The sequence below is a fragment of the Homo sapiens genome, chromosome 11 (assembly GCF_000001405.40).
Source record: "Homo sapiens chromosome 11, GRCh38.p14 Primary Assembly".
In the NCBI taxonomy this organism is placed as follows: Eukaryota; Metazoa; Chordata; class Mammalia; order Primates; family Hominidae; genus Homo; species Homo sapiens.
In genome coordinates, this window is record NC_000011.10 from 70,691,325 (window position 1) to 70,719,142 (window position 27,818).

General features: G+C 52.2%; 1 protein-coding gene across 24 annotated transcripts in view, besides 4 other annotated features; it reads right to left on the bottom strand.

The window, feature by feature from the left end:
- SHANK2 (SH3 and multiple ankyrin repeat domains 2) overlaps positions 1 to 27,818 on the bottom strand; it is a 785,381-nt gene that overhangs the window by 223,471 nt on the left and 534,092 nt on the right. For 23 of the 24 annotated variants that reach the window (NM_001441030.1, NM_001441032.1, NM_001441037.1 and 20 more), the window contains one exon: positions 7,364 to 7,439. In NM_001441030.1, the coding sequence (NP_001427959.1) occupies positions 7,364 to 7,439 (76 nt within the window). Of the gene's footprint in view, positions 1 to 7,363; positions 7,440 to 26,336; positions 26,680 to 27,818 lie in introns of those variants that run through there. The other variant, XM_017017390.2, reaches the window with a different exon arrangement.
- Positions 18,479 to 19,100: an enhancer, noted in NCBI's record as "H3K4me1 hESC enhancer chr11:70555908-70556529 (GRCh37/hg19 assembly coordinates)". NCBI's record gives its function as "activates a minimal SCP1, AML or CMV promoter by ChIP-STARR-seq in naive H9 embryonic stem cells {active_cell/tissue: H9 hESC(naive)}" and the evidence as "EXISTENCE:reporter gene assay evidence [ECO:0000049][PMID:30033119]".
- Positions 22,106 to 22,995: an enhancer, noted in NCBI's record as "H3K4me1 hESC enhancer chr11:70559535-70560424 (GRCh37/hg19 assembly coordinates)". NCBI's record gives its function as "activates a minimal SCP1, AML or CMV promoter by ChIP-STARR-seq in naive and primed H9 embryonic stem cells {active_cell/tissue: H9 hESC(naive and primed)}" and the evidence as "EXISTENCE:reporter gene assay evidence [ECO:0000049][PMID:30033119]".
- Positions 23,509 to 24,341: an enhancer, noted in NCBI's record as "H3K4me1 hESC enhancer chr11:70560938-70561770 (GRCh37/hg19 assembly coordinates)". NCBI's record gives its function as "activates a minimal SCP1, AML or CMV promoter by ChIP-STARR-seq in naive H9 embryonic stem cells {active_cell/tissue: H9 hESC(naive)}" and the evidence as "EXISTENCE:reporter gene assay evidence [ECO:0000049][PMID:30033119]".
- Positions 26,564 to 27,073: an enhancer, noted in NCBI's record as "H3K4me1 hESC enhancer chr11:70563993-70564502 (GRCh37/hg19 assembly coordinates)". NCBI's record gives its function as "activates a minimal SCP1, AML or CMV promoter by ChIP-STARR-seq in naive H9 embryonic stem cells {active_cell/tissue: H9 hESC(naive)}" and the evidence as "EXISTENCE:reporter gene assay evidence [ECO:0000049][PMID:30033119]".

Sequence of the window (27,818 nt, forward strand, 5' to 3'; positions counted from 1 at the left end):
AAGGGAGAATGAGGAGGGGGACACTCAGGTCCCCCGTTTAGGCACTGGGAGGGCTGTCCATCACAATAGAGACCACAGAGAAGAGCAGTACTCCCTGGAGAAATGGCTCACCCAAATGGAGACCTGGTTCCGGCCACCATCTTTACCATGCTGGGAGAGCGCAAAGGAAGAGCTGGGCCATCTGTGGTTGTGATGCCTTCCTTTGCCTATGCCCAGAGAAATACCTCTCTGTTTCAAAAAACTACAAAAGAACTATATACTTGCAAAAATAAAAATAAAAATATGGGCCAGGTGCGGTGGCTCACGCCTGTAATCCCAGCACTTTGGGAGGCTGAGGCTGGTGGATCACTTGAGGTCAGGAGTTCGAGACCAGCCAGGCCAACATGGTGAAACCCCGTCTCTACTAAAAATACAAAATAATTAGCCAGGCATGGTGGCACATGCCTGTAATTCCAGCTACTCAGGAGGTTGAGGCAGGAGAATCACTTGAACCAGGGAGGCAGAGGTCACAGTAAGCTGAGAGCATGCCATTGCACTCCAGCCTGGGCAACAGAGCAAAACTCTGTCTCAAAAATAAATAAATAAATAGTAAAAAAATAAAAATACAGAAAATGTATGAAATAAACAGTGAAATAATCTCTTGCCCTGCCCCAAACTATGCCTCAAAGAAGCCGCCATGGGGGCTTCCAAATTAACTGCGAGGCCCAGCCTTCAGTTGAGAGTAAGGAACAAATGGGGTGTGCTTCCTTCTGTGTCCAGACAGTAGACATACTCAGGGATAAAGCCTTCTTTTCAAGTCTAAGAAATAAGAAAAAATATATAAAAATACAAAATAATGGCGGAGGAAGAATGAGGGAAATCAATGTTTCTTGCCATTCAGTTCTTACAACCTACACACTGAGGCAGTCTTCTAGAGCGCAGAGTTAGGGTTTCAAAGGAAAGCCAGCTACCCACACACACTGCTCACAACTCAGCACCCCTCTGGATTTATATAGCACATGCCTCTTAGGAGCTGCAAGTACTAAACATATTTTCTCATTCATCCTTAACACGAACACAACTGGAGATACAGAATGAGTTGGAAGCAGCTCTACTTTGCAAACAACAGGAACTGAAGACTCAGGGAGGGGAGGCGAGCTACCCAAGGTTGCATAGTGACTTAGCTGGAAAGCCAGAGAGATAACTTAGGACCGGTGATTTCTCAGCGTCTTTAGAACGCTTCAGATAACATGCATATATGCTTCTATTTGCAGGGCCCTTCTCTAGAAAGAGCCTCAGGAACCCAGCAACAGAGATTCTCTCTAGGGAGAAGAACTTGGGGACCAGAAGGCAAAGATGGGAGACCTACTCTTCACACTCTATCAATTTCCTGCATATCTTGAATTTTTAAACCAGGTATATGTATTTCTTATTACTGATTTAGAAAAGATAAAAATTGGGCTGTGAGGCTCGAAAGCCATGAAAATAGGGAGCTGTGGACAGTGGATATTCAATGGTGAGCAGGCATACTTTGCCATCCTTCTAATTCGCTCTCTAAGAGAAAACTGGTTTTCTCTAAGGGAGAACAAAAAACAGATGCTCAGCACCTTCTTAAACCTTTTCCTTGAGTGGCATTAATGGACATGTTCCTTTTGAGCAGACCTTGCTGCCAGTAAGGATGTGCCTCTGGGAGCTCCTCCCGGCAAAAACGAAGAGAAGGTGAGAACTAAGTCCTCCATGCTCTTCCTCACCTCCATGTCCATGCCCCTATCCAATCTAACTCCATCCTACCCCTCAGTTCCATCCACCTCTCTACCCCACCTCCTCCACCAGCCCCAACCACCATTGTTGCTTGGCCTGAATAATGGCAATGGGCTCCTCACTGGTTTCCATCCATCCTGCCATCTGCTTTCCTCCAGAAAAGTGATTCAGATGATGTCTCTTCTGCCTAACGCCCTCCAATGCCTCCACTGCAAGTGCGAGAAGACCCAACTCTTTTCATGAAGCACGAGGTCTTTCTCTGACATTACTGCCTCTAATCTCTTCTAGGCCATGGCTATTCCTGCAGTGTCGAATCTTCTCATCACCCCAGTGCTTCTGCACTTGCTGAACCTTCTCTTGAGGGGTGATTCCTCCTCAATCTTTGTGTTTCAACTCAAAAGTCACTTCTTCAGGGAGACACTCCCTCCCTGGCATCCCTACATAAAGCCGGCATGACCCAACCTCCCAGGATTCTATGACAGCACTCATCTGCTTCATAGCATTAACTACAAAGTGAGATCCTCTGCTTCATTTGTTAACTTTATTGTGTACCTTTACTAATTAGACTGTAATCTACTTGAAGTCAAAGAATGTGCTTGTCTTGTTTATATCCTCAGCTCCCAGAATAGTCAGATCTTGATAAATATTCATTAAACAGATGGACAGATGAATGCAGTGGTTGGGTGGATGGGTGGATGGATGGGTGGGTAGGTAGGTGGATGGACGGGGGAGTGAACAGATAAATGGGTGGATGGATGGATGAAGAGATACATATGGATGGAAGGATTCATACATGGATGGATGAATGGATAGATGGATGTGTGGATAGACGGACAGGTGGACAGGTGACTGGGTGGATAGATAAATAGGTGGATAGATGAGTGATAGAAAGATAAATGGCTGAGTGAGTGGATGGCGGGAAGGATGGATGTATAAATGGAGTCCGTTCAGCCTAAAGTGAGACCCTGAGTTCTCCCCCATCCCACCAGGTAGATTTCTCTGGAGTATCCCATGATGAGGCTGGGGATTTGGTTAACGAGGAGTGGGAACTTAAGATTCCCATTCCCTGAGTGGAGACATGTTTTTAAAAATGACATTGAAATATCTGTAAAGTCCCAAGTAGAAATGGCCCTTAGGGCCTCTGCTGTTTGACCTTAATTAATGTGGCCATTTCTAGATCCTTCTCTCACTGTTTTCCGGGTGAGTGGAGGGGAATCCCAGGGAGGGAATTGGCTGGAACAGCTGAATATGTTCACTAATGAATTGGTGTGTTTCAACATTTGGCTCTCCAGCTCTGAGACTCTGAGCAGTTTTTGACATAAGAGGAGGTTGGAAGGGGAGAAACCTCCTGACTGATTCAGAAAATGTCTCCACTGAGTCTCACTTCCCATGGCATTTTCTCTCATTACACTTGCATCGGCAGTGGGGTGGCCTCAGCCCTGTGCTGTCTGCCCAGATTGTGACCCCACAGCCTACTGTGGATAATTGGCCCACAGGGCTGGCACTGCACCCAGGTTTCTGCTGCTCATTAGTCTACTTGCAACATGAATGCCAACAAGGGTTTGTGAGCTACAAGCTGTTCTGCACCCATGCCCTGGTGACCATGGCCTCCAGATGCTCCTCCTGCTCCATTGGAGAAGCTGGCAGTCAGCCTCTCACTCCACACCCACTCCAGAGTTATGCCATTCCAGGGTTACAGGGGTGCACAAGACCTACTCATCTCTGTCCACAAGCTCCCATGCTGCCTGCCCTCCTTCCATGCTGCCTGCTCTCCTTCCACACTGCCCGCTCTCTGCCTGCACTGCCCACCCTCCATCCGTGCTGCCCACCCTCTGTCAGCACTGCCTGTCCCCCTGTCCACCCTGCCATGCTAATAGGTTCACAGTCTAGCTGAGGCCAGTTCTGCTGGTCCTGGGCAGGGTGGCCTCCCTCAGGCTAACCCTGCACCCGTTATGAACCAGCTCAGACAGTCAGGGATGAACAACGATAATACCATCATCCTGAATACGTCAGGATTCCACTCATCTGAGGTTCCTAGAGTCATCAAATTCATAGAGACAGAAAGTAGACAGGTGGGGGCCAGAGTCTGAGGGAGGTGGAGCGGGGAGTTTGCGTTAATGCAGACAGAGTTCCAACTTTGCAAGATGAAAGACCTCTGGAGCTGGACGGTGGTGTCGGTTGCACAACACAGTGAATGTCTTAATACCACTAGACTAGTGATTCACTTAAAAATGGTCAGAATAGGAAAGTTTATATTATGTGTATTCTACCACAGTAAGAAAAAATGGGGGGGTGGGGAAAGAATGAAGTACTGGTGTGTGTCACTGTGTGGATGCACTTTGAAAACATGATGCAGAGTGGAAGAAGCCAGACACAAAAGACCACGTAGTGGCTGATTCCATCTATGTGCATCTCTCCCAACAATGCTTTGGGAGGTGCTGACTGTTACCACAAGAAACACTGGCCCTCCTCCTCGTCAGTTTCCCTCAACCCAGGCTGGCTTTGGGCAGTACCATCCTCACCGCGGGAGGGTGGGGCCTGAATGCCAGGGCTCTACTGCCCACAGATCAGGCCGCATACTCAGGCTCAGATGCTCATTAACTTGGCCTTCCTTTCCCTCCATCAGTGTCCCTCTAGCAGGTGGAATGTAACACCTGCGTTACCAGGTTGCTGGGAGGCTCAGCTATGAACAGGGCTGTGCTCCATGCAGGGTGGGTGGCGCACGGGAGGAGTGGATAAGCAGGGCTGTTGTGACTCTTGTTTCTTTCAATGAACCACAGGGTCACATGAGGCCCACAGCTTGTCTGATCCCTCGCCATGGGAGTACTGGAGCTGACTCCTAACTCTGATCAAGGCTGAAGCTTTTTCACCATTTGCTTAGAAGCTACCAGTTGACCCCAGTGTGGTCTGCATGTTCCTCCTCTCTGAGGTGAGGTCCCAGGACCTGGCAGAACAGGTGTTCAGTACACATGTAAAACAAAAGCCCTTGACTGGACACCAAAACAGGGATGCAGAGTTGGTGGGGATCTTGGAGGTCATCCAGTCCAATCTTCTGTGACATTCTGGCAAGAGAATCCTCAGCCCTGCTTGGCTCCTTCTAGTATGGGGAGCTCACTACCTCCTGAGGCAGCCTGAACAGCCACAATAGTTCTGCAAGTCTTCTCTTGGCTGAACTCCAGCCCATGTCCCTGGTATTTTCTGGCCCTGCTGTTAGCCATGTGTCACACCTTTACTACAACACCCTAGCCAGCTTTGCCCACAGATGTCTCTCTTCCCAGGCAGGTCCTTCCTCTGCTCCTCTGTGGGGAGACTCAGGCACTATGTATCATTGTGCAGACTCTGCTTGCTATCACAGATCCTATCACAGTGTGATAGGCCCACTGACTATGACCACCTGCCCAGGGTCCACTTCTACAGGCAGCCTTCTGCTGCTGCAGAAACAATTCATCTGGCTCAAATAAAGGCTCATCAGGAGAAGCTGTGGTCAGTCCCTGACCTGCCTTTAGGGCTGCGTTTGTGGCCAGGCCATGGATCACACTTGGGCTTCAAGGTCACAAAGTGGGCGAGTGTAGCAAGACCTGGAAAGTCTGTGACATTCCCTGGAGGGGTCTTGGCTCCTCTCCTGGCTATGGCATTCCTTTTACAGCACACCTCATTTACAAGAGAAGCGGTTGGGACAGGTCAGCATTATAACTGAGTCCAATGAGCAATTCTGCTCCTAAGTGCACACACATACTTGCATGCAAATATCAACAGCAATCAATACCATTCACAACAACCAAAAGGTGGAAATAACCTGTGCTCACTGATGGATAAAGGGATGAGCAAAATGTGGTCCGTCCATACAATGAAACATTATTCAATCCTAAAAAAGGGAAGAAAATCCAGACACGCTACAACACGAATGAACCTTGAAGACATTACGCTCAGTGAAAGAAGCCAGTCACAGAAAGATGAATACTTCGGGATTCCACTCATCTGAGGTTCCTAGAGTCATCACATTCATAGAGACAGAAAGTAGACAGGTTGGGAGCTGGAGTCTGAGGGAGGTAGAGTGGGGAGTTTGCATTAATGCAGACAGAGTTCCAACTTTGCAAGACAAAAGAGCTCTGGAGCTGGATGGTGGTGTTGGCTACACAACACTGTGAATGTTCTTAATACCACTAAACTAGTGATTCACTAACAAATGGTCGGAATAGGAAACTTCATATTACATGTATTTTACCACAATAAGAAAAAATTGGGGGCGGGGAAGGAATGAAGTACTGGTATGTGCCACCATGTGGATAGACTTTGAAAACATGATGCAGCGTGGAAGAGGCCAGACATGAAAGATCACGTAGCGGCTGATTCCATCTACGCGCAGCACCGAGGCAGGCAGAGCCCACAGACAGAAGCAGGTGGGTGGGTGCGAGGGGCAATGGGAGTGGGAGTGACTGCTAATGGGGTGACAAAATGTTTTGGAAGCAGATAGTGGTGATGGTTGCCCAATATCGTAAACGTACTAACTGCCACCTTATTGTACACTTTAAAATGGTAAGTTTTAGGTTACGTACATTTTACTTCAATCAAAACAGACAAACAAAAACAAATCAATCAGCTAACCCAGGTTGGATCCCTCCACAGGCAGGTCTAAGAGTCGAGTGCAGGGGTCTGGGCTGCTCATCACAGATATCCTGGAGGTCGGGGAAGAACCCAGCGTAGGGCTTCCGGACCCTCCCACCTCTGCAGGAGATGAGTGGGGTCAGCTTCTGAGAAGGGGCTCCTCAGCCAGCAGGGCCGGGCACAGGACCCTCACATCCCCGGGGCCTGCACCTGCACCTCCTTCTCTTTTCTACCTCACACACTGGCCCTTGTTGAGCTTCAACATCCAGGAAGAACCCTCTATCTGGGGCTCCCCACGTGGAGGGGCCTTTCCCCACACTCGGGGCCAGCAGGACACCTCCCCTGCCCAGCCTCAACCTCCCCTGCAGGCACCCCCCAGCCTCAACCTCCCCACAGAGACCCAAGGACTTCCCCACAGCTGGTGACACACAGGTGTGGTTTCTGCAGAAAAATCCAACCACGTGCCTGTGCCAGTCACATTGTCAAAGATGCAGGGCTCTTTCCACACATCAGACGAACTCAAACCTGCTGTGCTTAGAAGATCTGGCTACCTGGTGGCTCGCCTGCCCCCTTCCTTCACAGCCATTCCACCTAAGCAGAAGTGGCAGGAATGGATGAGAACCCGAGGACCACAGAGAAGGCAGAAACCCAGACCTGAGGCATCCGAAATACTCCCCCGGGGGATGCTGCTGCCCCAATACTGCCTCAAGGCTCCTGTGGCCCACTGCCGTCATCCTTGACATTTGCATGCTTTCGCAAAAACAATGCTACCCAGCCCTCTCCCTGGGGCCACCACACAGGTGTGCTCTGGCTGGACACAAACCAAAGGTGGCACCAAGTACACCTCTCAGGCAGGGGCTCCAGGAGATGGTGGCTTCCATAGTCCTAGCCCGGTAACAGGCACAGGGAGGCAGACACGAGGGGCCTGAAAGCTGCATGCAAGATGGTCCAAAGCATTTGCAGCACAGACGAACAGCTTTGACCAGAGGGTCCTGGAAGAGAAAGCAGCGCGTCTTACCTGGAAGTGTCGAAGCTGTCATAGGAGCCCACGGTGTAGTGCCTGAAAAGCTTCTTGCTGCGGTCAGCGCGGGTTTCTGTACAGAGAGGGAAGAGAAACACCATTCAGAAAAGTCATGGTCCCCGAACGCGGAACCCACAGCACATGAGGCTGGTGGGCCCTCTCACCTACTCCCCAAAATGTGAGATGCACTGTCCTGGGGAAGAGTCTGGAGGAAAATGAGGCCTGGTTCTGGGGCTCAACTTTGTGAAATTTGGGGAATGCATGTGCACCTCAATGCTGGCTACTGAAGAGTCAGGAGCACTACTCCCTAAGGGAGGCAGAGTCCCACAGGCCTCAGCTCACAGAGGAGGCAGGAGGAAGCAGCCTGCAAAGATGAGAGGGCCAGGCCAGCTCAGACCCCAACAGGGCAGCCCGCTTGGCTCATGGAATCCACTAGAACAGCATTCTGCCGTGGTGCTGCTGAGCCTTCCAGCAAAACTGAAAACCTGCAGACAACTGCCATTTGGGAAAGAAAGAACATTTATTGTCATTTTCCTGATTATAGTTCCTTTCTCCTAAAAAAAAAAAAAAGCACCAAACCCACATGATTAACATTTCTAATTAAGTCCTCTGCTTGCTCCCCTTACTCAGCAGATTGAGACATAAATTTCATGGGAAATGATATGAGTGATGTAATTAGATTTAATGGATAGCTCAGTGCTGGAGGGAGAAAAAAAACACACACACAACAAAAAGACATAAAACATAGCAGCTCACGAGTTCCTGTTTACTTTCCTCCCAAACAGGATTTCCTGCATGATCTCCTACCTAAGCCCTGCAAAACATCCAAAGAAATTATGCAACTGACTTCAGGAAAATGGCCCAAAGTTTAATCTAAACTCTGTAAACAACCTTCTCTGTTGTTAGCCTCCTCCATCCCAAATTCTGAGGTGAAATCATTTTTTCTTCCACTCAAACCCCAAAATGCACATTTGCAGTTCAAAAGTAAATAAGGGAATTGAGAAAGGTCTCCACACCTTTCATGTGCCCAGAGGCAGCCAGCTGTTCACCAAAAGCACATGTTCCAAGAACCCTTTCCCTTTTCCAGCAGTGTGGTGTTGCCCTTGAGGGCAGGAAAGGAGGCAGGTGTTGAGCCCAGGACTACATTTCCCAGCCTCCCTTGAACCCAGATGTGGCCACGTGACTAGTTCTCACCACTGAGATGTGAGCACAAGCAGGGTGGGAAGGGTCCCTTCCAAGCTTAGGCTTTTTAGAAGCCAGTGTGCTCTCCCGACTCTGTCTTCTTGCTTCTGCCAGCTCAACGCTCAGGCCTCTGAGACCCTGGGGTCAACAGCTGGGTCTCTGTGCCCTGGACTCTTACGTAAGCAAGAGTTTCATTTCTACCACATTAGGCTGCAGCCTCGGATTAATTTGACACAGTGGCTAAGTCTTTCACATGGAAGCTCCCAGCTGTCTCCACCCCTTCCACACTGCTCCCCACAAACCCCCGAGGCTCCTACAAAACACAACAGGACTCCCCAAACAGCCACATCATCACCATCTCCATCATCGTCACTGACACTTATTGAGCACTTACTCTGTACCAGGCCCTGCTATAAAGTGTTGCCCGAGTATTCAATAGTTTAACTGCCATGACCACCCAGGGAGTGGGGCACACTCCACTTCGCAGGCCCCTCCAGTGCAGCCAGGGGCACCCTCTGCCCTCCACTCCATTGAATGCCACTCCTCAAAGCCTTGCTCAGGGCCGTGGGAGCCCTCCTTGTACAACCAAAAAGACGCATTGCACGATTACCAGATAAAAACACAGTATACACAATCAGATTGGTCAGAGTGCACAGGGCCCTCACCAAGCCAGCACCGGTCCAGCCAAGCTGCACACACCTCCCCTTTGCTTGGCATCTGCAACAAATATGCCCAGGTGCAGGAGGACACCTGTGCCCCCCTCCTCCCTGGCATCCAGCATCTTGCACAGGTCCAATTCCAATCATCATTTATGAAGTCTGCCTGGCAGCCAGGCCCGTGCCTCGACTGCAGGGATTAGAAGAATTCAGCAGGGCAGGGCCTCAGGATCCCGGGGATGGGGCGAAGGAGGAGCCCCAGGGTACTGAGCCTCCACAGGCTGGATGAGGGGCCCAGCACGTGGGTAGCTGTGAGGTGGGAACACATGGTCAGGCAATCCCTGTGACATTTATGTTGGGCCATGCATGTGCAGGGACAAGTGAGACTTGCACCTTTCCCTAGGGTTAAACAGAGTAGCTCACAATGCCAATGAAGGGCCACAGGGACTGGCTGTTAATTGCTATTATTACTTTTAATTGTCTCTGCTCCTTACACCCTCATGTGGCAGCTTTGTGCTGGCTGTCTAGGGAACTGCTGGGTGCTACCAGCTGATTGGTGCAGGATCCTGGCTGAAATCGGAGGCCGGGGCCAGAAGCAGAGAGGAGTGTGTAGTGGAATGTGTGCGTGTGTGTGTACGCGTGTGTGTGTGTGTGTATTTACCAGAAAAAAAGACTATTTCAGTAAAGGAACCATTTCTAGGCTAGGTAAGGTAGCCAGTGTGTCCCAGACTGGAGTTTCATGGACCAACAAAACTTTAAACAAAGAGAAAAAGGGTGTAGACTAACATAACATTCACCAAGTTTTACATTTGGCTCAGTAAGGATATTAAGAACAGTAAATTCCCCTCTGATATCAAAATTGTAAGAAAAAGGAATCTTTTTTTTTCTTTTGAGATGGAGTCTCACTCTGTCATCCAGGCTGGAGTGCAGTGGTGCGATCTCAGCTCACTGTAAGCTCTGCCTTCCAGGTCACGCCATTCTCATGCCTCAGCCTCCCGAGTAGCTAGGACTACAGGTGCGTGCCACCACGCCCAGCTAATTTTTATATTTTTTTTTTCGTAGAGACGGGGTTTCACCGTGTTAGCCAGGATGGTCTCAATCTCCTGACCTCGTGATCCACCTGCCTCGGCCTCCCAAAGTGCTGGGATTACAGGTGTGAGCCACTGCACCCGGCCAGAAAAAGAAGCCTTTAAAAGGACATTATCTCTGACTGCTTCATGCAGGAATCCCCCTGCACAGGCCTTCCCTGTCTCCTGGTTCCCAGAAACAGTTATACTTGGGCTCTGGGATATGGTCCCTAAGGGACAGGAAAGGGACCCTAAGGGACAAGATCATTATCACCATCACCACTCCCATCATCATCACCACCACCCTCCATCATCACCACCATCATCACCACCACCATCACCACCACCATCACCACCACCACCATCACCATAATTACTGCCATCATCACCATCATCATCACCACTATCATCATCATCAGCATCACCATTACCATCATCATCACCACCACCACCATCTTCTTCACCATCATTACCAACATCATCACCGCCATCATCATCACCATCTTCTTCACCATCATCACCACCATCACCACATCATCACCACCATCTTCTTCACCATCATCACCAACATCATCACCATAATTACTGCCATCACCACCACCATCATCACCACTATCATCATCATCATTACCACCACCAGCGCATTCTTCACTATCATCACCAACATCATCACCACCATCATCATCATCACCACCATCTTCTTCACCATCATCACAATCACCATCATCACCATCATCATCACCAACACCATCACCACCACCATCACCATCATCACCACCAACACCACCACCATCATCACCACCATCCTCTTCACCATCATCATCATCACCACCATCACCACCAACATCATCACCACCATCATCACTATCATCACCACTAATCATCATCATGACCCCATCACCATCATCAGCACCACCATCCTCTTCTTCACCAGCATCATCACTAGCGTCATCACCACCATCATCAACCACTATGACCGCCACAATCATCTTCTTCACCATCATCATTGCCATTATCACTGTAATCATTATCATCATCACTGCAGCAGAAGACACATTTATCTACTGTCAAGTGTGGAATGCTCTGCTAAATTATCTCATTTCATTAAAAGTAAGTCTTTACCCTTAATTGGTACTCACACAATATCCCAAAGTAAGCAGATTTCTTGTCCCTGGTTTACAGAAGTAGCAGAGTGCAATGATAAGGGATGTGGGCTCCAAGGCCAGGCTGGCTCGATTCAGAACCCAGCTCTGCCACTTACTGGCTGCAAGTCCTCATTATTTCATCTTTAAAAGGATGATGATAGTAACAGTCCCTCCTTAAAGGGGAAGGATTGAGGAATCAATACATGTAAGGCACTAGAATGGTGCATGGCATGTTGAAAGTGCTATGTAATGTTAACTAATGCTGTCGTGGTCATACATTAGATTAGAAACCTCTGCCTCCCAAGGTGGCCTCTCAAGGTCATGGAGTCTGTCAGCAGCAGTGTGGGCCTCCGACCTCAGATCTGTGCCTCCACAATCAGTGCTGACAGCAACCAATGGCCATAGTTGGTGATCCACTTACCAGGGGCCACACGTATTCTAGGTGTGTGTGCTTCACCTGTCTGAGCTCAGTAACGTTGCTGTGTCTGGTTTACGGGTGAGGAGGGGGAGGCTCACAGAGTTTGAGTGAGTCACCCAGCCAGGAAGTGGCAGAGCCCATTGTGGTGCAGCCTCCGGGGGTAGTACCCATATAGGGCTCCTGGGAGGTGGCATCTCATGAGCGACCCGTGTAAATCCAGGTGGTCTTCTTAACTCTGCCACATCCTGTGGAGGTGCCCTCAGCAGCCTCGGTTTCTAACCTGGAAAAAGCGGGGTGGGCTAGACGGCCCTTGGGACCCTGCCCCCAGTGTTACAGTGCACACCTCATGGCATGTCCAGGCTTGGCCCCCTGGGACTTGCTGTGCACTGCGCTGAGAGGCAAGGGCTGCTGGGCTGCCCCTTCCCAAGGCTCCCTGGATCTCACTGGTGAAAACGTGGGTCACAAATAAAACACCCTGAGGCAGACGAGGGGAGGAGCAGGAGGTCAGGGGCCACACCAGCCTCCCTGTGCACCAGTGACAACAAAGGATGCTGGCTGTTTCCTGCCGCTGAGAGGTCAGCTTCCCAGGTGCCGGGGCCCGAGGTCAATTCTGCCTCAGAGCTGACCACACCTTCAGCCGCGCATGCACCTGCTCACCTGGCTGGCCACATCCTCCCTGTCTTCTGTGGGACCAGCCCTTTCTCAGCTCCAGCCATGTGGTCAGGTGATGCCACCCTGCCCCCTCCCCACCTGACTGCCCAGCCCTGGGCTCCTGCAGTTCCCATGGGAGCCTGGCTGGAATGTCCCTTTGATCCCAGTGAGTGACGGGCTCAGGGGAGGGGCCTGGGACCACAGCGGGGACAATGCCGCCCTACTCCTGCTGCTGGGGTTCCCACGCCTCAGGCCACAGAGGGAGGCCAGCCTCCTGAGGGGGATACCCATGTGCAGGATGGCACAGGGCTCGGGAGGAAGAAGGGCAGGAACAGAGACAGAGAGACCCAGAGAGACGGGCGACTGCCCTAGAGACACAGCTGGAAACCCTGGACACAGCCATGCCTGGCTTCTCACTTGTACAAACTAAATGCATATCCTTGGTGGTATAAAAAAACTTGGCTTTCTGTTGTTTACAATGGAAAGAACTAGGAATGATGCAGTAATGCATTTAATAGTTGTGCTGCTGCACTGCGTGGCTAAGAAACTGCCGTGGCTACATAGCTTCTCTGGGGACACAGCCGCTTCCCTTCCCCATGGGAAGGTCCTGGTGAGGCTGACCCTCAGGAGGCCAAGCAGCCCACCCGGCACACAGGGGTGCATATGTGGGTGTGGTCTAGGGATCCTGCTGGACTCTCCTGGGCCCTGTCATTAGCAGTAAGTGACCCAGGGCCCACTTAAGGACAGGTGGCTTTTTTTCTGAGATGTTCTGTAGTCTGACTGCTGAGAAAGGTGATCTTGGCTTCCTTTTAGAGATGCGATGGAAGGACACGGGCTATGGCCACCATTCAAAGCACAGGGAGGGAGTGAGTCCAGCAATGAAGCCAGCTCATGGCGGAAGACAGAACCAAGTTCAAGGTCTGGGGTCAGGGAGAGATGGACACAAAAGACCTTGATGCTAGGAGTCCCTGGATTGTGGCTTGTGGTGGTCACTGAGGCTACTAATCAAATACTTCTGGCTTTCCACCAGGGCGCATGTGGTCAGACACTACTTCTTAGCTCTCCTGTGGTTGAGTAGGCCCTTGAAATTAATTTTGGCCAGTGAATTTTGAGAGGAAGTGAATTCTGTTATTTCCTGGCTGGAGGTTTTAATTCCAAATGCAAGACCCCCACCCACCAGCATTGTCTTTTTGTCCTTGGGCATGGCCACCAAAACATTTGAGAAGCTGGTGGTTCTATTAGTCTGGGTCCTCAAGTCACCCCCTGTTGATGTATGATGGGCATAAGGTGTGAATGAGAAAGAAACTTTTGTTGTTCCAAACCACAGAGATTGGGGAATTTTTTATTTTTTATTTTTTTAAGGCTAGTCAGGTGAAGCAGTGGGAATGGAGAAGGAACAAACAAAATCTGTAACTGGTTGTGATCAATGAGTTGTAAACACTGCTGCACTCAGAGCAGCCAAGGGGAATGCTTGTTACTGCAGCTTCATATAGGGCAAGCTGACTGATACACATCTCCATGGCCCTCTTAGTCCTGTGGGCCAGTACATCCTAGGCAGAGATGGGTTTCTGTCACCAGCAACCAAAATTGTCCTAGCAAGTATAGGAGGGAAGACCAGACAAAATCAAGGCAAAGGCTGAGTTTGGCCTCCTCTGAGAGAATGGCTGTACTTTCTAGGAGAAAAGGAAAAAACCACCTACTAGACAATGGAAATGGATCCCATTAAGCATGGCCAGAACACAGCATAGCAGCAGGCACTTTATGTGTCTCAGAGGAGACCCCTCTGCCTGTGATAAAGAAGCCAGGGAAGCCAACCATCCAAGAGGGAAGTATTGACTTGTCTGCTTCCTTAACCATGGAGAAACTTCTTGACGTCAAAACCAAGCTTCCAACCAGGCCTTCCTCCCAGTCAGTGCTGGGATCAGTGCATCATATAGCAAGGGCTCAGCAATGTTTGTAGTGCTCCACATACATGGAGGCTAGCAGTTACTACCACTCTAGTCTGAACCACCATGATCTTGCACCTGGACTGTTGCAGCAGCCTCCTGCCTCCTTGCTTCCATGCTTGCCCTTCCCTTTACTGATACACATTCTATAGAGACAATAGAATGAGCTTTTAAAAAATGTAAATCAGGTGATTTTCAACTCTGCTGCTTAACGTTTTCCAACAGCTTCCCAATGCAACCAGAGTCACGTTCAAGCTGCCTTCTATGGCACAAGCCAGACACCACGTGGCCCTGCCTGCTCCCTGGCTCATCTCCCACCGCTCACCACGTGGCCCTGCCTGCTCCCTGGCTCATCTCCCACCGCTCTCCCCTCCTCGGTCCCCCCAGCCGTGTTAGCCTCCTCTTTGTCTCTTGAACAAGTCGAGCTCATTCACACCTCAGGGCCTTTGTGTGTGCTTAACTCTGCCTGGAACATTCCTTCCCCAGCTCACATTTCACTGCAATGCTAGCTCTCCAGATCCTACAACACAGCCTGGTGCATAGCGGGCACTCAGTAACTCTGGAGAAAGTGAGCGAATGGGTCAAAGCCACACACCCTTGGACCCTTTGCTCATATTCCACCGTTGGCCACGTCATCTCCTTGGGTCTGAATGGGGCAAGTTGGAGATACAGGAAGCTGGATGATTACAGCTCCAGCTGGGGATTGCCGAGGCAGGGGACACAGCCCTGGCTGGGGCAGTGGCTGGCTGTGACCTCCTCACTTTGCATCTCTGGGCCTTCCCCTTCTCAGCTGTGAAGTGGGCCGGTGGGACTAAACAGCTCCTTAGGCTCTTGAACTTGTCAACCCGACACATCCCTCTGGGTGTAAGGCGACTCACCCCATGTCCCAGGAGAGGGCCATCGGTCCAGACACCTCACACATGCAGCATTTGAGCATGCAGGGCCTGAAAGCTGTTTTCTGAGTATGGCCTAGAAAAATCTACACTGAAAGGAAAAAAAAAAAAGGCCAAACCTAGAAATCCCACTTAATATACCTTTTGGGACTCACGAGAGGCAGTGACAGATTGCATGACAAGCTTCAGACTGTCAGCATTTAAAATAGACCTTTAAGCAGGGCTGCTGGAAAGAGGATGCTGTACAGCTTGGCAAGGAAGCCAAGATGGAGCATCTGGGGAGATTCCAGTGGCCTCTGATCCTGCGCTCTGACTGTTTCTGGAAAAGGAAATAAGAGGATTTTTCTCAAAGAAATTTACTAAGACACTGAAAGGCCAAAAGCTAATCTTTAAGGATGGGTTGGGAGGAGGTGGGCTATAGAACTAAGAGATAGAAGGTGGGGCAAGGTGTGGTGGCTCACACCTGTAATCCTAGTACTTTGGGAGGCTGAGATGGGTGGATCACCTGAGATCAGGAGTTCAAGACCAGCCTGGTCAACACGGCAAAAACCCATCTCTACTAAAAATATAAAATTTAGCTGGGTGTGGTGGTAGGCACCTGTAATCTCAGCTACTTGGGAGGCTGAGGCAGGAGAATCGCCTGAACCCGAGAGGTGGAGGTTGCAGTGAGCCGAGATTGTGCCATTGCAGTTCAGCCTGGGCGACAGAGTGAAAACTCCATCTCAAAAAAAAAAAAAAAAAAAAAAAAAGAGAGAGAGAGATAGAAGGTGAGAGGTGAGGACAGGGTCCTGTGAGCATGCTGACCTCTACACTCCAGCCACATTCCATGGGCAGTGGTCCCCTCTGTTCATGAGACACACGTGGACAGACAGAGGCAGGAAGGATACACAACAGTCCATCTTTAGACAAGACAAGCTCGAGCTTAAATCTCTCGCTAGCTACACAACCCCAAGCAGCAAACCATCTCCCTCCAAGCCTCAGTTTTCTCAACTGTGCCCTGGGCCAAGAGCAGAGTTTACAGGGCTGCACTGAGGACAAGATGAATGCACACTTCTAAATAAATCCTTTCCCCAGCATCCGGCCTGGGGAAGCCGTCGAGTCACGTTGGCTACTGTTGTCTGTCCAGGAATCCAGCTTGGACGTTCTGGTCTACAAGTCTCTCTGAAAACATCCCCCTGCCCTTTGCAGACAGGAAGCTCTGCTCCCTGACCACCTCTGTACCACCTCACCCCACGCCCCAGTTACAGAGGGCTGGGCCATGAGATGGCACCTGTGTCAAGCCAGGCCAATCATCAGAACCTCCCCTGGGAATCTGGAGTAGATGTGGACAGTCTGCTCCCGGTGTGCACCGAGGACATCACAGCTGGGGCGACAAGGCTGTCACCACACAGCACCAGTGGAGGGAGGCATGTGCTTCCAGGGCCTCAGGAGGCAGGGCCCTGCCTTCTGCCCTCGATGACCAGGAAAAGCCCTGGCGTCCCTAGACCAAGGTCCATTTCTTCATGCAACCCAGCTCAGGCAAGCTTTGTATTTCTTGCAATGGGAGGAGTGCCATCTTTCAGTCTGTCTGTCAAGCTGGGTGGAACCTGTTATACCCAAGACGTCATCTCAGGTCCTGGCTCGGTGGCCCATTTCTCCCGATGGACTGCCCTGGACACTGCATTTCTCCTGATGGACGGCCCTGGACACTGCATTTCTCCCGATGGACTGCCCTGGACACTGCAGGGCTTTGGGCATCCTTGCCTCCAATCTCTAAACATTGGGATTCAAGATGACAACCAAGTAACGTCCCCTCCACGTTTCCAATCAGTCCCCGCACTCCCCCACCACGAGAGCCACATGCCGCAGACATTTCTGGGTTACTTTTTGTCAAAGGGCAGTGACAATGACCAGACAGAGGGCACTGAACAGGCAGGGGTCAGATGTCTCCTGTGTCCATGACAAAGACAGTGAGGCCCCGAGGTTTGGCCAAGGACCTTAAGGCTGACTTCAAATGACCACAGAGCACTTCCGGGTCAGGCAGCCTTGGATCGTCTGCCTTGGCTGGGAGCCGCTCCTCCAAGCCCTTTGAGGGGTCCCAGATGATAATATACTGAGCTTTTTCATTCTTTTCCCCAAGTGCTACGTCCCAAATTTACTTTTGTAAATTGACAATAAGCACAGATGCCACGGGAGAGTGGGAAGATGATGCCATGCGTCCTGAAGAGGGGATTGAAAGGCCTTCTGATGTGTGGACCCCCCCTGCTGACCTCCAGGGCAGGTTTTAAAATACACAAGAAGGGCAGGGCGTGGTGGCTCACACCTATAATCCCAGCACTTTGGGAGGCCAAGGTGGGTGGATGGCTTGAGGCTAGGAGTTCAAGACCAGCCTGACCAACATGGCAAAACCCCATCTCTACAAAAAATACACAAATTAGCTGGGCATGGTGGCATGTGCCTATAATCCCAGTTACTTGGGAGGCTGAGGTGGGAGGATCACTTGAGCCTGGGAGTTTGAGGCTACAGTGAGCTGAGATCACATCACTGCACCACAGCCTGGGTGGCAGAGTGAGAACCTGTCTCAAAACAAAACAAAACAAAACATACTAAGAATTCCGATGTAGGCGAATTCTGAATGGGACAGTTCAAAAGGTGACTGCAGAGAGCTGAGTCACATCAGCTAAAGCCCTGAACACACATGAACACGGGCCCAGGAGCCTGGGCAGGTTATTTGACTGTGTCCTCTGCCACATGGCAGGACCTTAGCTAATGCTGGCTATTGCCAAGTCTCCTGCTGGGAATAGGGAGCAGGGGAGAACCCTGAAGGTTGAGGTCAGGTCTGACCTGGCTGAGGAAGGAGGAGGAAGTCTCAGCAGAGATGGGGAAATATCATATGTCAGCTATAGCTTGACAGAGCCTACTCGGTGACCACAGCCATCCTGACATCCCATGGGTAAATGCTCAGGACAAGCCCTAGAAAAATTCTGTAGGATGCCCATTTCACAGACACGGACACTGAGGCAGAGCATAGTTAAGGGAAGGCTTAGCGCACACACTCAGTGTTGGGCCGATGGAGCGTGTGGCCGTGGCAGAGACAGCTGGCAAAGGTACGCAAGTATCATGAGATTTGGGGTTGGGGAAGAGACTTGGGGGAGCCCTGGCGAGCGAGTCCATGTGACGGCTGAGCACAGAGGCTGGGGAGAGAGGAGAGAAGAGGAGCCAGCCGCAGGCCTCAGGTCACCAGTGGGGCGGGTGGGCTCCGGGGGTCCAGGGTAGGATGTCCTCGGAGCTGAGTCTATGCTTTCAGGGACGGAGGGGGACAGGTGGTGAGAACGGTTCCCACGGAGAAGTAAAGGAGGATGAACACTGAGATTCCCTGGCCGCTGGACTTGAAATTCAGAGGCCAGGAAAGGGTGGGGCAGCAGAAGAGGTTTTCTAGGCGCTCTCCCAGATCAAAACCCACCACCACCTTTGCACTGAAAACCCCTGTCCTGAGATGAACGCGATTTTAGGGCTGCTGAGCGCCTCCTCAGTGGCCGTGGGAAGACAGGGCCTTGACCCCTACTGGCTCTCCCCACACCTGGGGGCTGTGCCGTCCCCTCAGGCAGGCCTGGCTCCCTCTTCACAACGGCCTAAGAGCTGCCGCACGACAAGTGACCAGGCTCTGAAGTCAAGGGTGAGCAACCACTGCACACAACCTTTGACCTGCAGAGAGGACTGTAGGAGACTGTGTCCCACTGCCCCCTCTCGGCTATGGAATGGGGTAGGAGGGAAGCTTAAAACCCAAGGAGGGCTGCAGACACCCTGCTGAATGCGGACTGTGCCGGAGCATATGAGGCCGGCGAGGGAGGCAGAACTGACAATGCCCCCTAGACCTTCGCCCCCTGGCATCACCCCCACAGTAATGTCAGGGTTGATGGTGAAAGGGGGATTATCAGGTGGGACCGAACTAATCTCATCATCTCATGAGCCCTTTGAAAGCAAGTACTTTTCTCTGGCGGGTGGCAGAAGGGGAAGTCGGAGAGACTAGAAGAGTTGGGGAGGCCAGTCCCATAGACTCAGGGAGCCAAATCCTGCCCACAACCTGAATGTGACCAGAGGCAGACTCCTCCCCGAGCCTGCAGCTAAGGGCCCAGGCCTCAGACCCCTCCACCGGAGCCCTGTGAGAGCCTGGGCAGAGAACCCAGTCCAGCTGCCTGACTTTGGACTCACAGAGCCTCGGGGTCGGGGGTGTGAGCAGACACGCCTGTGGTCACGGGTTCTGCAGCACAGGAAACGGAGGGAACTGGGGCTGCAGGTTCCTTCACAGATCTTTTTTTTCTTTTCCTGAAGATTTATCTGCAATCTCACCCAAGACAGAGATTGAAAAAGAGAGAGAGAGAGGGAGGGAGAGGCATGTGGGTGAAGGGAATTCCCAGAACATCTTCCCTTCTTCCCTCCCTTGAAATCCATCATCCTCTCTGAACTCTCACTCTTCACTCTTCATCCCAAAGAGGCAAAAATCACAGCAGTGGGCTCTGGGGCGGGGTGGGGTCCCCAGGACTTCCGTGTCATCCTGGTTGTGATTGCTGAGCTCCTGCAACGTGCAGCCTTGAGTCCGCTCTGGCCACCCTTCCTGCCGTTTAGAGGGCTCAGGGTCACCCGGGTGGCAACGTGGCTGGGCTGTCCAGCTCCGAATCCCCCCAGTGCTGCACCCGAACGCCTCCCTCCCACGCAGCCTCCTGCCGTCTCCGCAGGTTTTAAATCAGACGCCGCTCAGGCTGTGCCCAGGCTGCTGAGCCAAAAGCGGGATCAGAACCACAAGGAGGAAGAAATTACTGATGGGGATGAAAGACCGAAATAACTTTTCTTTTTTAAAACCAAAGATGCTGATGGGCTCCTTGCAAGGCAGAGGAACACACAGGCAGCAGTGCCGCAGGCAGGAATGCTAGGAGTGTGCGGGGCTTGGAGCCAGCACGCCCGCCCGGCCTCCAGGCTCAGGACTCCACTCTTGGGGCCCAGTCTCTGCTCTGGCAAGCTGTTGGGTATGGGACCCACCGCGAGGGGGACAGAAGGGCGGGGACCCTGGCTCTCAGAACTACCCAACTGAGAGGCACAGAGCTTTGATTTGAAAAGCAACACGTATCACAAAAATGCCGCCAACTGGCTCGGCTCACTTGTTCCTTTTCTCAATCAGCAGCAGATCATTCATCAAGCACCTTCTGGGCTCCCGGGACTGACCTTGCAGGGGAGGGGAAGAGAAAATAAGGACCCTGTGCAGAATGCCCAGGCACACGTCACAGCACACGGACCTCGTGGGGATGGTGGCCTGGGCTCCTGCAGCTGCCGGCACAGACGACCAGGCTCGGTGGCCTCAAACAACACAAACGTCTCCCCTTACAGAGCTGCAGGCTGGAAGTCTGACCAGGTCTCTGGGCTGAAGTTAGGGCGTTTGTGGAGCTTCCTTCCTGCTGGAGGCTCCTGGAGTGTGGGGGATCCACTTGCTTCCCCCGCCCGGCTTCCAGAGGCTGCGGTGTTCCTCGGATCCTGGCCACTGCCTCCACCTTCAAAGCCAGCAAAAGCGGGACAAGTCCTTCCCCCCACTGCATTGCATCCCTCTGACTCTCAGCCCTATGCCTCCTTTCCCACATTTAAGGACCCTTGGGGTCACACTGAACCCATCCAGATAACCCTCAGCTGACAGCAACCTGAGTTCCCTCTCCGACCTCCACTCCACGTGACCATGAGGCTGATGTATTCAGAGCTTCTGGACATTAGGACGTGAACATCTCTGGGGGCCGCTATTGTGCCCACCATAACCACAAAGAGACCATCCCTGTCAGACAGCACAGCTGGGCAGGCTGTGCTCTGAAAACTGTTTACCTCCCCATCAGCAACAGAGCTCAGAACTTTCAACAGGACAGAAACTATGAGGGTGGCAGAGAAGCGGCTTCCAGGAAATGCACTTCCCTGTTCCCAGATACAAACAACACTCAGTTCCAATTCGGATTCTGCCACTTATGGTGAGCCCTAGGGCGGGGCCCAGTTCCTGGAGACTCCTCCTGCAATGGGTGGGCGTGGCCCTCACTCAGACTGAGCCGCCAGCACGATGGTTCCTCGCTCGGCTAAAAGCGCCCAGCTCTGCACCAACAGCCCTTTTCCTGGTCTGCACCACATGCTCAGGGGGCCACGCTCCCCTTCCTGGAATCACACTGGTTTCCAGTAGTGGAAGCTGCCTATCTGCTGGAATTCAGCACCAACAAGCACCCGAGTCCATAGTTCCACTTGTTCCCAGCTCCCTGGAAGATCGTGGTTCCTCCCATGTGCGCACATGTGTATGGCGTGTGTCATCCGCCCTGCTCCTCTTTGCTCGATGCTGGGAAGAACAGCCTCGTGTCACACGCCTGGGTAAGACCCCAGCAGCGAGGTGCAGGGGAAGTTTGCCAAAAGAATCACGTGCTTTGAATTCCCTTAACATTGGCATGGGTTTGTGTGTGGGCAGGGGAGGCACCAGCCCTGTCGGGCACGTGCCAGTGGGTCCTCAGCACTCTGACACCACACAAGGGCCAGATCTATGGACTCCAAATCCAGGGGCCAAGGAAGCAGGTGCCAGCATGCTGGGCTGTGTTTCCATCCTCCAATAAACAGAAATCACTTCAGAGAGCCGGCTCCGTCTGCTCCTGGCACAGTTGGTTTTTCTTAGTCATCTCAGGAAATTGTTGGTTGTACTGCAAGATGAGTGAAGCACCTTAAGAAGAACACGGGTTACAGTACTGACTTGCCACTTTACGAAGCAGTCTTTTTGCCAAGCGTAGCTGTGTCCGCTTTCACAGAACCCCCGTAGCAGCAGGGCTTGGGCGTGGAGCAGCCAAGGCCCACGTAGCAGTGGCTTCATGTACGGAGCCGAGGGGGAGGCTCACAGGTTGGCTGAGGGTGTCCAGCAAGGCAGTGGCTCAGTTGCATGTTCCACTGATCATCGGAAAGCCAGGGTGAGGTGTCAGCCTCCAAGAGTCTGAGGAAGAGAATGGGAGGGAGATGCCTCCAGGCGGCAGAGCTGTCACAGCGCCGGGTGTCCGTCACAGCACCGGGTGTCCGTCACAGCGCCGGGTGTCCATTGCTGCCACCATGTGATCTTGATCTGTCCTTTTCCACCATCCGTCATGCCTTGCCGTGTGCCACACACACCATTTAAGTGTAAAACACACTCTCTTCTGAATGCTCCCAGCAACACTACAAGAAAAGTGCTAGCAGCGTTGGCCTCTGCTGTACAGGTGAAGAAGCTCAGGTGCACACCAGCGATCTGTGCCAGTGTCCAAGCTCTGGGCACTGCCTTGTGGCCATGCTAAGTGCCTTCTTCCTTCCAACAAACTGCTTTGGCTCACTCAACAGCTATTTGCAAGCAGCAGCTCCTCCCTCTACCCCAGGGGCCAGGAAGCTCAGCGCTTCTCCCAGCCTCCCTCCAGGAGTGCCTAGGTCCTGGCCAATGAGACAGGAGCAGGCGCCTGCCAGGAGGGGCTTCCTTTCCCCAAACCAAACCTCCCCAGAGCCTGAAGCTTTTCAGCCCTTCCTTCTTCCCTGTCTGGAATGTGGAAGTGGCTCTACATCTATGCTGCCCCCAGAGCATGCTGAGGACACGGAGGAGAAGGAGAGAAAGAGCCACATGCCCAGATCACCGTGGCGCAGCTATGCCCACCTGGCCCCTGCAGCCTGGCCCCTGATGTCTGTTGGGTGAGATGAGTAAAGCCCTGTGTGTTTAGGCAACGGTTTCTGTTTCTCCCAGCCAGGCAGGGTCCTAACTGCAAGGCCTTATCTTGTTTAGCCACAAAGAGCCCCATGAGACAGGCACTGTCATTATAATAATCACTTATCAGATGTGGAAATCGAGGCACCGGAAGGTTAAATGGTATTCCTCTATAACACAATCAGCAACTGATGGAGCTGGTGATTACATTAATATCTTAACATTTCTGCAGTATTGCACACAGAGACTCCACGAGAGGACTCGACCCAGGAGAAAATCAGGTGTGATCTGATCATTTCCAAGGTCACCTGGCTGCTGAACATCAGAGCTGGGATCCAAACCCAGGTCCTCCTGGCTCTGAGAGTCAAGGTCACCCCATGGCCTCTGGCTACATCCTCCCTACGGCATTTTTCTTCCTTCCTTTTTTTTTTCTTTTGCAAAAGATTGGTTTTACCTGTAGCATTTCTGTCTTATAAGAGACAGAATCTTGTTCTATTGCCCAGGCTGGAGTACAGCAGTGCAATCATAGCTCACTGCAGCCTTGAACTTCTGGGCTCAAGCAATCCTCCTGCCTCAGCCTCCCGAGTAGCTGAAACTATAGGTGTGCACCACCACACTTGGCTTTTTTTTTTTTTACTTTCTGTAGAGATGAGGTCTATGTTGCCCAGGCTGGTCTTGAACTCCTGGCCTCAAGCAATCCCCCCACCTCAGCCTCCCAAAGCACTGGGATTACAGGCATGAGGCACCACACCCAGCCCCACCTATAACATTTTTGAAAGGATAAATCTCAGAGGTGAGTGGTGCCCTGTAGATAATATTTTTTACAATGCTACACTTGAGAATTATCCGGGAATGTGGGAAAAACCTGGAATCCTAGGTTCTTGGAGGAAGGACCCTCATTGGAGAATGGGACGGGCTGTGCCCAGGGTCACCCAGCCGGGAAGGGAGGATGCTCAGCTCTGCCCTGCTGCCCTCCCGCCACTGGGCTCCTTTGCCTGCTTTGTAAGCTCAGTGGATGCCTCCCACCCTGGGCACCCAGTGCCTATGGGGAGGGCAGTGTGGACTTCTCTTTTGCCCACACTAGCCCTTCTTGCAGCTCTCGGGCCAAGCCAGGCTGGGGACACCGTAGGAGGGGAGGCTACACTCAGTCTCTGGTGATGCTTCCCAATTACCACCCTCCCAAATTGGCTGGACAAATGAATCAAGCTGTTGGCTGTCACTGAGTTGGTTTCTACTCTATAGTAATTAGAATGTTTTAAAAAAAATCAGCCCAGGAGCTCAGTGGAAGCATGTATACCAATACATCGAGCCAAACTCACAGTTTAAATGGAAATTAGAGTAAATGGATGAATCTGTGCCTGATTTGCATTTGCTGATGAGCTCGGCTGGGAGTGTCCATGCCGAAGCAGGCTCCGTTTCCAGAATGGCTCTCTCTCCTCTATCTGTCCAGAAGGATGCCTGGCGAATGTGACCCACATGCCCCTGGACCCGGCAGCCCAGGGCTGGAGTCGCCAGTGGGGAGGAGGGGTGGGGTATTGTGGCCAGACTCCAAAAGACTTGTCCACGGCTGAGCTAATCCGGCCTGGGCCCAGAGGGGAGCAGAGCCTGCCTCTGGCTGTGGACAGGGCGTCTGGAGGGGCCTCACTCTGTGTACCCCTGCCCCCTATGCCTGCCCCTCCAACACCCACTGCCTAACCCCAAAACTGTCTTAGGGCTCTGCCCCCCATGCCTGCCCCTCCAACACCCGCTGCCTAACCCCACAGAACATCCTGTCTTAGGGCCCTCTTTGTGGTCGGCCTCTTTCCCCGGCCAATCAGAGCACCTCGAAGAAGGCCGATGATAATCAGAGCCACCATTCTCAGAGCAAACACCCCAAGCATCTCCTGGCACGAGGTGCTCAACACTGCTCCCGGCCAGGCTTTGTTACCCCCAAGAGAGGGCCCAGGAGGGGGCCATGTCCAAGGGCACGCAGCAGAGCCTGGATTTAAATCTAGGAATGGGTGGGGGCGGGAGGATTCTTTTTAGCTTTATAATCTTTTTTAAGGATGCCGGCAGCTGAGGCTTCGGAAATAGGACATCTAGAAAAAAGACCTGTTGAGCTCAAGGAAACCGCCCTGATCGTGTGGGAAGACAGCTGCTTCTTTATTGCTCGGGTTTCGGTGCTGGGACCTTGGCCAACCGAAGTTCTTGGTCAAGGGGACCCATCTCCATCAGGGTGCCTTCTTGGGGAGGATGAGGTGGGTCCCACTGGTGCTAACAAAGACCACCCGCCCTCCGCCCCTGGCCGTGACCTTAGCAAGCCAGGGCCAGATGCTCAGGGCTCATTCCCTGCCACTCACCAACACGGGGCACCCCCAAAAGATTCTACACGTCGCTGACAAAACCCAGAGTTGCCAGGCGGGTGAAGACCAGCGGGGAGACTGGGCAGGGGTCACCGTAGTCTCGACAGCTCATGGCTCACATAGATCTCTTCAACCGCAAAGCAACATCTGGGAGGGATGCTCCTCGGTGGCAGGCGCCTCACATCTCACTGGACCGGGTCCCGGAGCCCCCCCCCCGCCCAACTGGACCCCTCCCAGCCTGGCCATTCCTGCTCTCCTCGGCCTTTGTGGGCAAGAGGGAGCAGTTGGTGAGAAGCTACTGGAGAAGCTGATATAAACCATTATGCAGCCTGCAAACGCACAGGGTGTTTCTCCCTCTCCACCGTTACCACGCGGAAGGAGCACACCGTCCACTTGGTTAAAACAACAACGGAAATCCACCCAGCCATGCTGTCTTTGGAGAAAGGCAGGCTGCACTCGGGAGCAGGCACGCTGCCCCAGGCCAGCCTTGCAGGGACTTTCAATACAGTTTGTCGGGTTAGGAAAGAACACGCCAGAAAATGAACAAGCCACATCTGTAGCCACAGCACCTCATCATGCAACCGACCTCCCTTTGAGGTTAACCACAGTGCTTACTAGGAAGAGATGTATGAATTTGTCTTAAAAACCCACTAGCCGCTCAAAGGGACCCTTGAGACTATAAACAGGATCCCTGGGATTCTGGATGCAACTGAGAAGCCTGTTTCCTCCCGAATGATCTGAGGCTATATCTTTATTTCCATTCTAAATCAGAAGCAGGCGAAAGCCGTGATGGAAACAATAGCCTCGGGGCGCCCAGCAAGCAGGACACAGTCCCCCTAAAACACACCAAGTGCAAAGCCATTGCCACCCCGTCTCACCAAGCGCCGGCAGGACTGCCCAAGTCCCACGGTCCTCCCGTCCCCGCAGCTCTCGTAAAGAACAAAGGCTCCGCACACCAGCCCACAGCGTACCTCCAAAATGAACTTTCTTCTTGAACCGTGAATTCTCGGCCATCCTTTCTAACCTGGGTGTGACCATCTCACTCGGACCACTGCTCCTCGGGGTCTCCACGGAGACTGAGTCCGTGGGGCGGCCTCATCTACTACTGCCTGTTAATTCAACAGGAAAAAAAAAAAGTTGCAGCCCTCTGGGGGCAGAATTGAAGAAGAAAAGAAAAAAAAAATCAGATGAAGAAGAAAGATGGCTCCGGGAATGTTTCATCCATGAGGAAGTTCACAAATTTGACTTCTGGGGACTGAACATCCAAATCAGCTGAAAATTCGCTTCTTTGACACAAGTTGTAAGCCCCAGACTGGAGCCGCGTCCTTCCACTTCCCACTGTACCAGGGACTTTTTTTTCCCCTAGTGCCAGTTTCCATGGCAATGCATCAGTCACTAGTCTAAATAAGTACGGGTGAAGGACGCCTGAAAAACCAGTGCAATTACGCATGCCATTAGCAGGGAGAGGCAGTGATTCAACCCGGCTATTAGGATGGGCCGGAGGTGTCACTTAGAGGCGGCAGCTGTCCTCGTCCCCAGTAATTGCTTTCTCATTTTGCAAGGCTTGGTGTTTCCTCGGTCTTGGCCGTTCAGAGCCCTGCTTTCTGTGAAGGGGCAGCCGGGCAGCCAAGCCCGTTTTGGCTACACAGACGCCCTGAGCCTACGCTGGAGGGAAGGAACTGCGCCTCGGTGGAGGTGGCCCTGGCCCAAGGCGTGCACTGTGCCTTCCTCTGGGCAGTGGGTCCTTAGCGGGGCTTGGGGCATCAGGAGGCAAGGAGGGATTTGGGGAAAAATCCATGGACATGCTGCAGATTCCATCTGCAAGGTCACGGCCAGCAGTCCACCCTGCATCAGGGTCAGGGCACAGGGCTGGGGGCTGAGCCTCCTTCCAAATACCTGCAAGGACTTCTCGGCTTTCAAATACTTCCCAATCGGTACGTCCCGTGAGAAGGCGAATGTCACAGCAGGGCAGGGAGGGAGTGCTCCTCCCTTTTTGATAGAGCTCATTCTCTTTTTTTTTTTTTGAATTGCTGGCCTGAATGTCCATCATGGCCCGGGACAGAAGCCCTCACCTTCCTGAGCTGCAGGCTTTCAGTGGGTTAGAAAACGGATTAGAAGGGGTTGGGGATACTCAATGGATGTCCTTCATCCCCCTGGAGAGGCAGAGTGTATGGCAGGGAGGCAGCCTGGACTGAATCCCACTTTGCCGGTCACTGGCGCTATGAGCTTGGGCTTGTTTCCAGTTATCTTGATTTGTCAGCTGGGGATAATCACGAATTATCGGTAAGATGGAAATCAGGGTCATGAGAATACAATGAATTAAAGAAGGGTGCCTGGCATACAGTAGGCACGCAAGGAAGATCAGCTTTGTTCCTGTTCTTACGTTCACTGCCCATGTGAAGAGCACGTCAGGTGCCATCACCTGCAAGCTCGCCGTGGCGCAGTGAACGCTG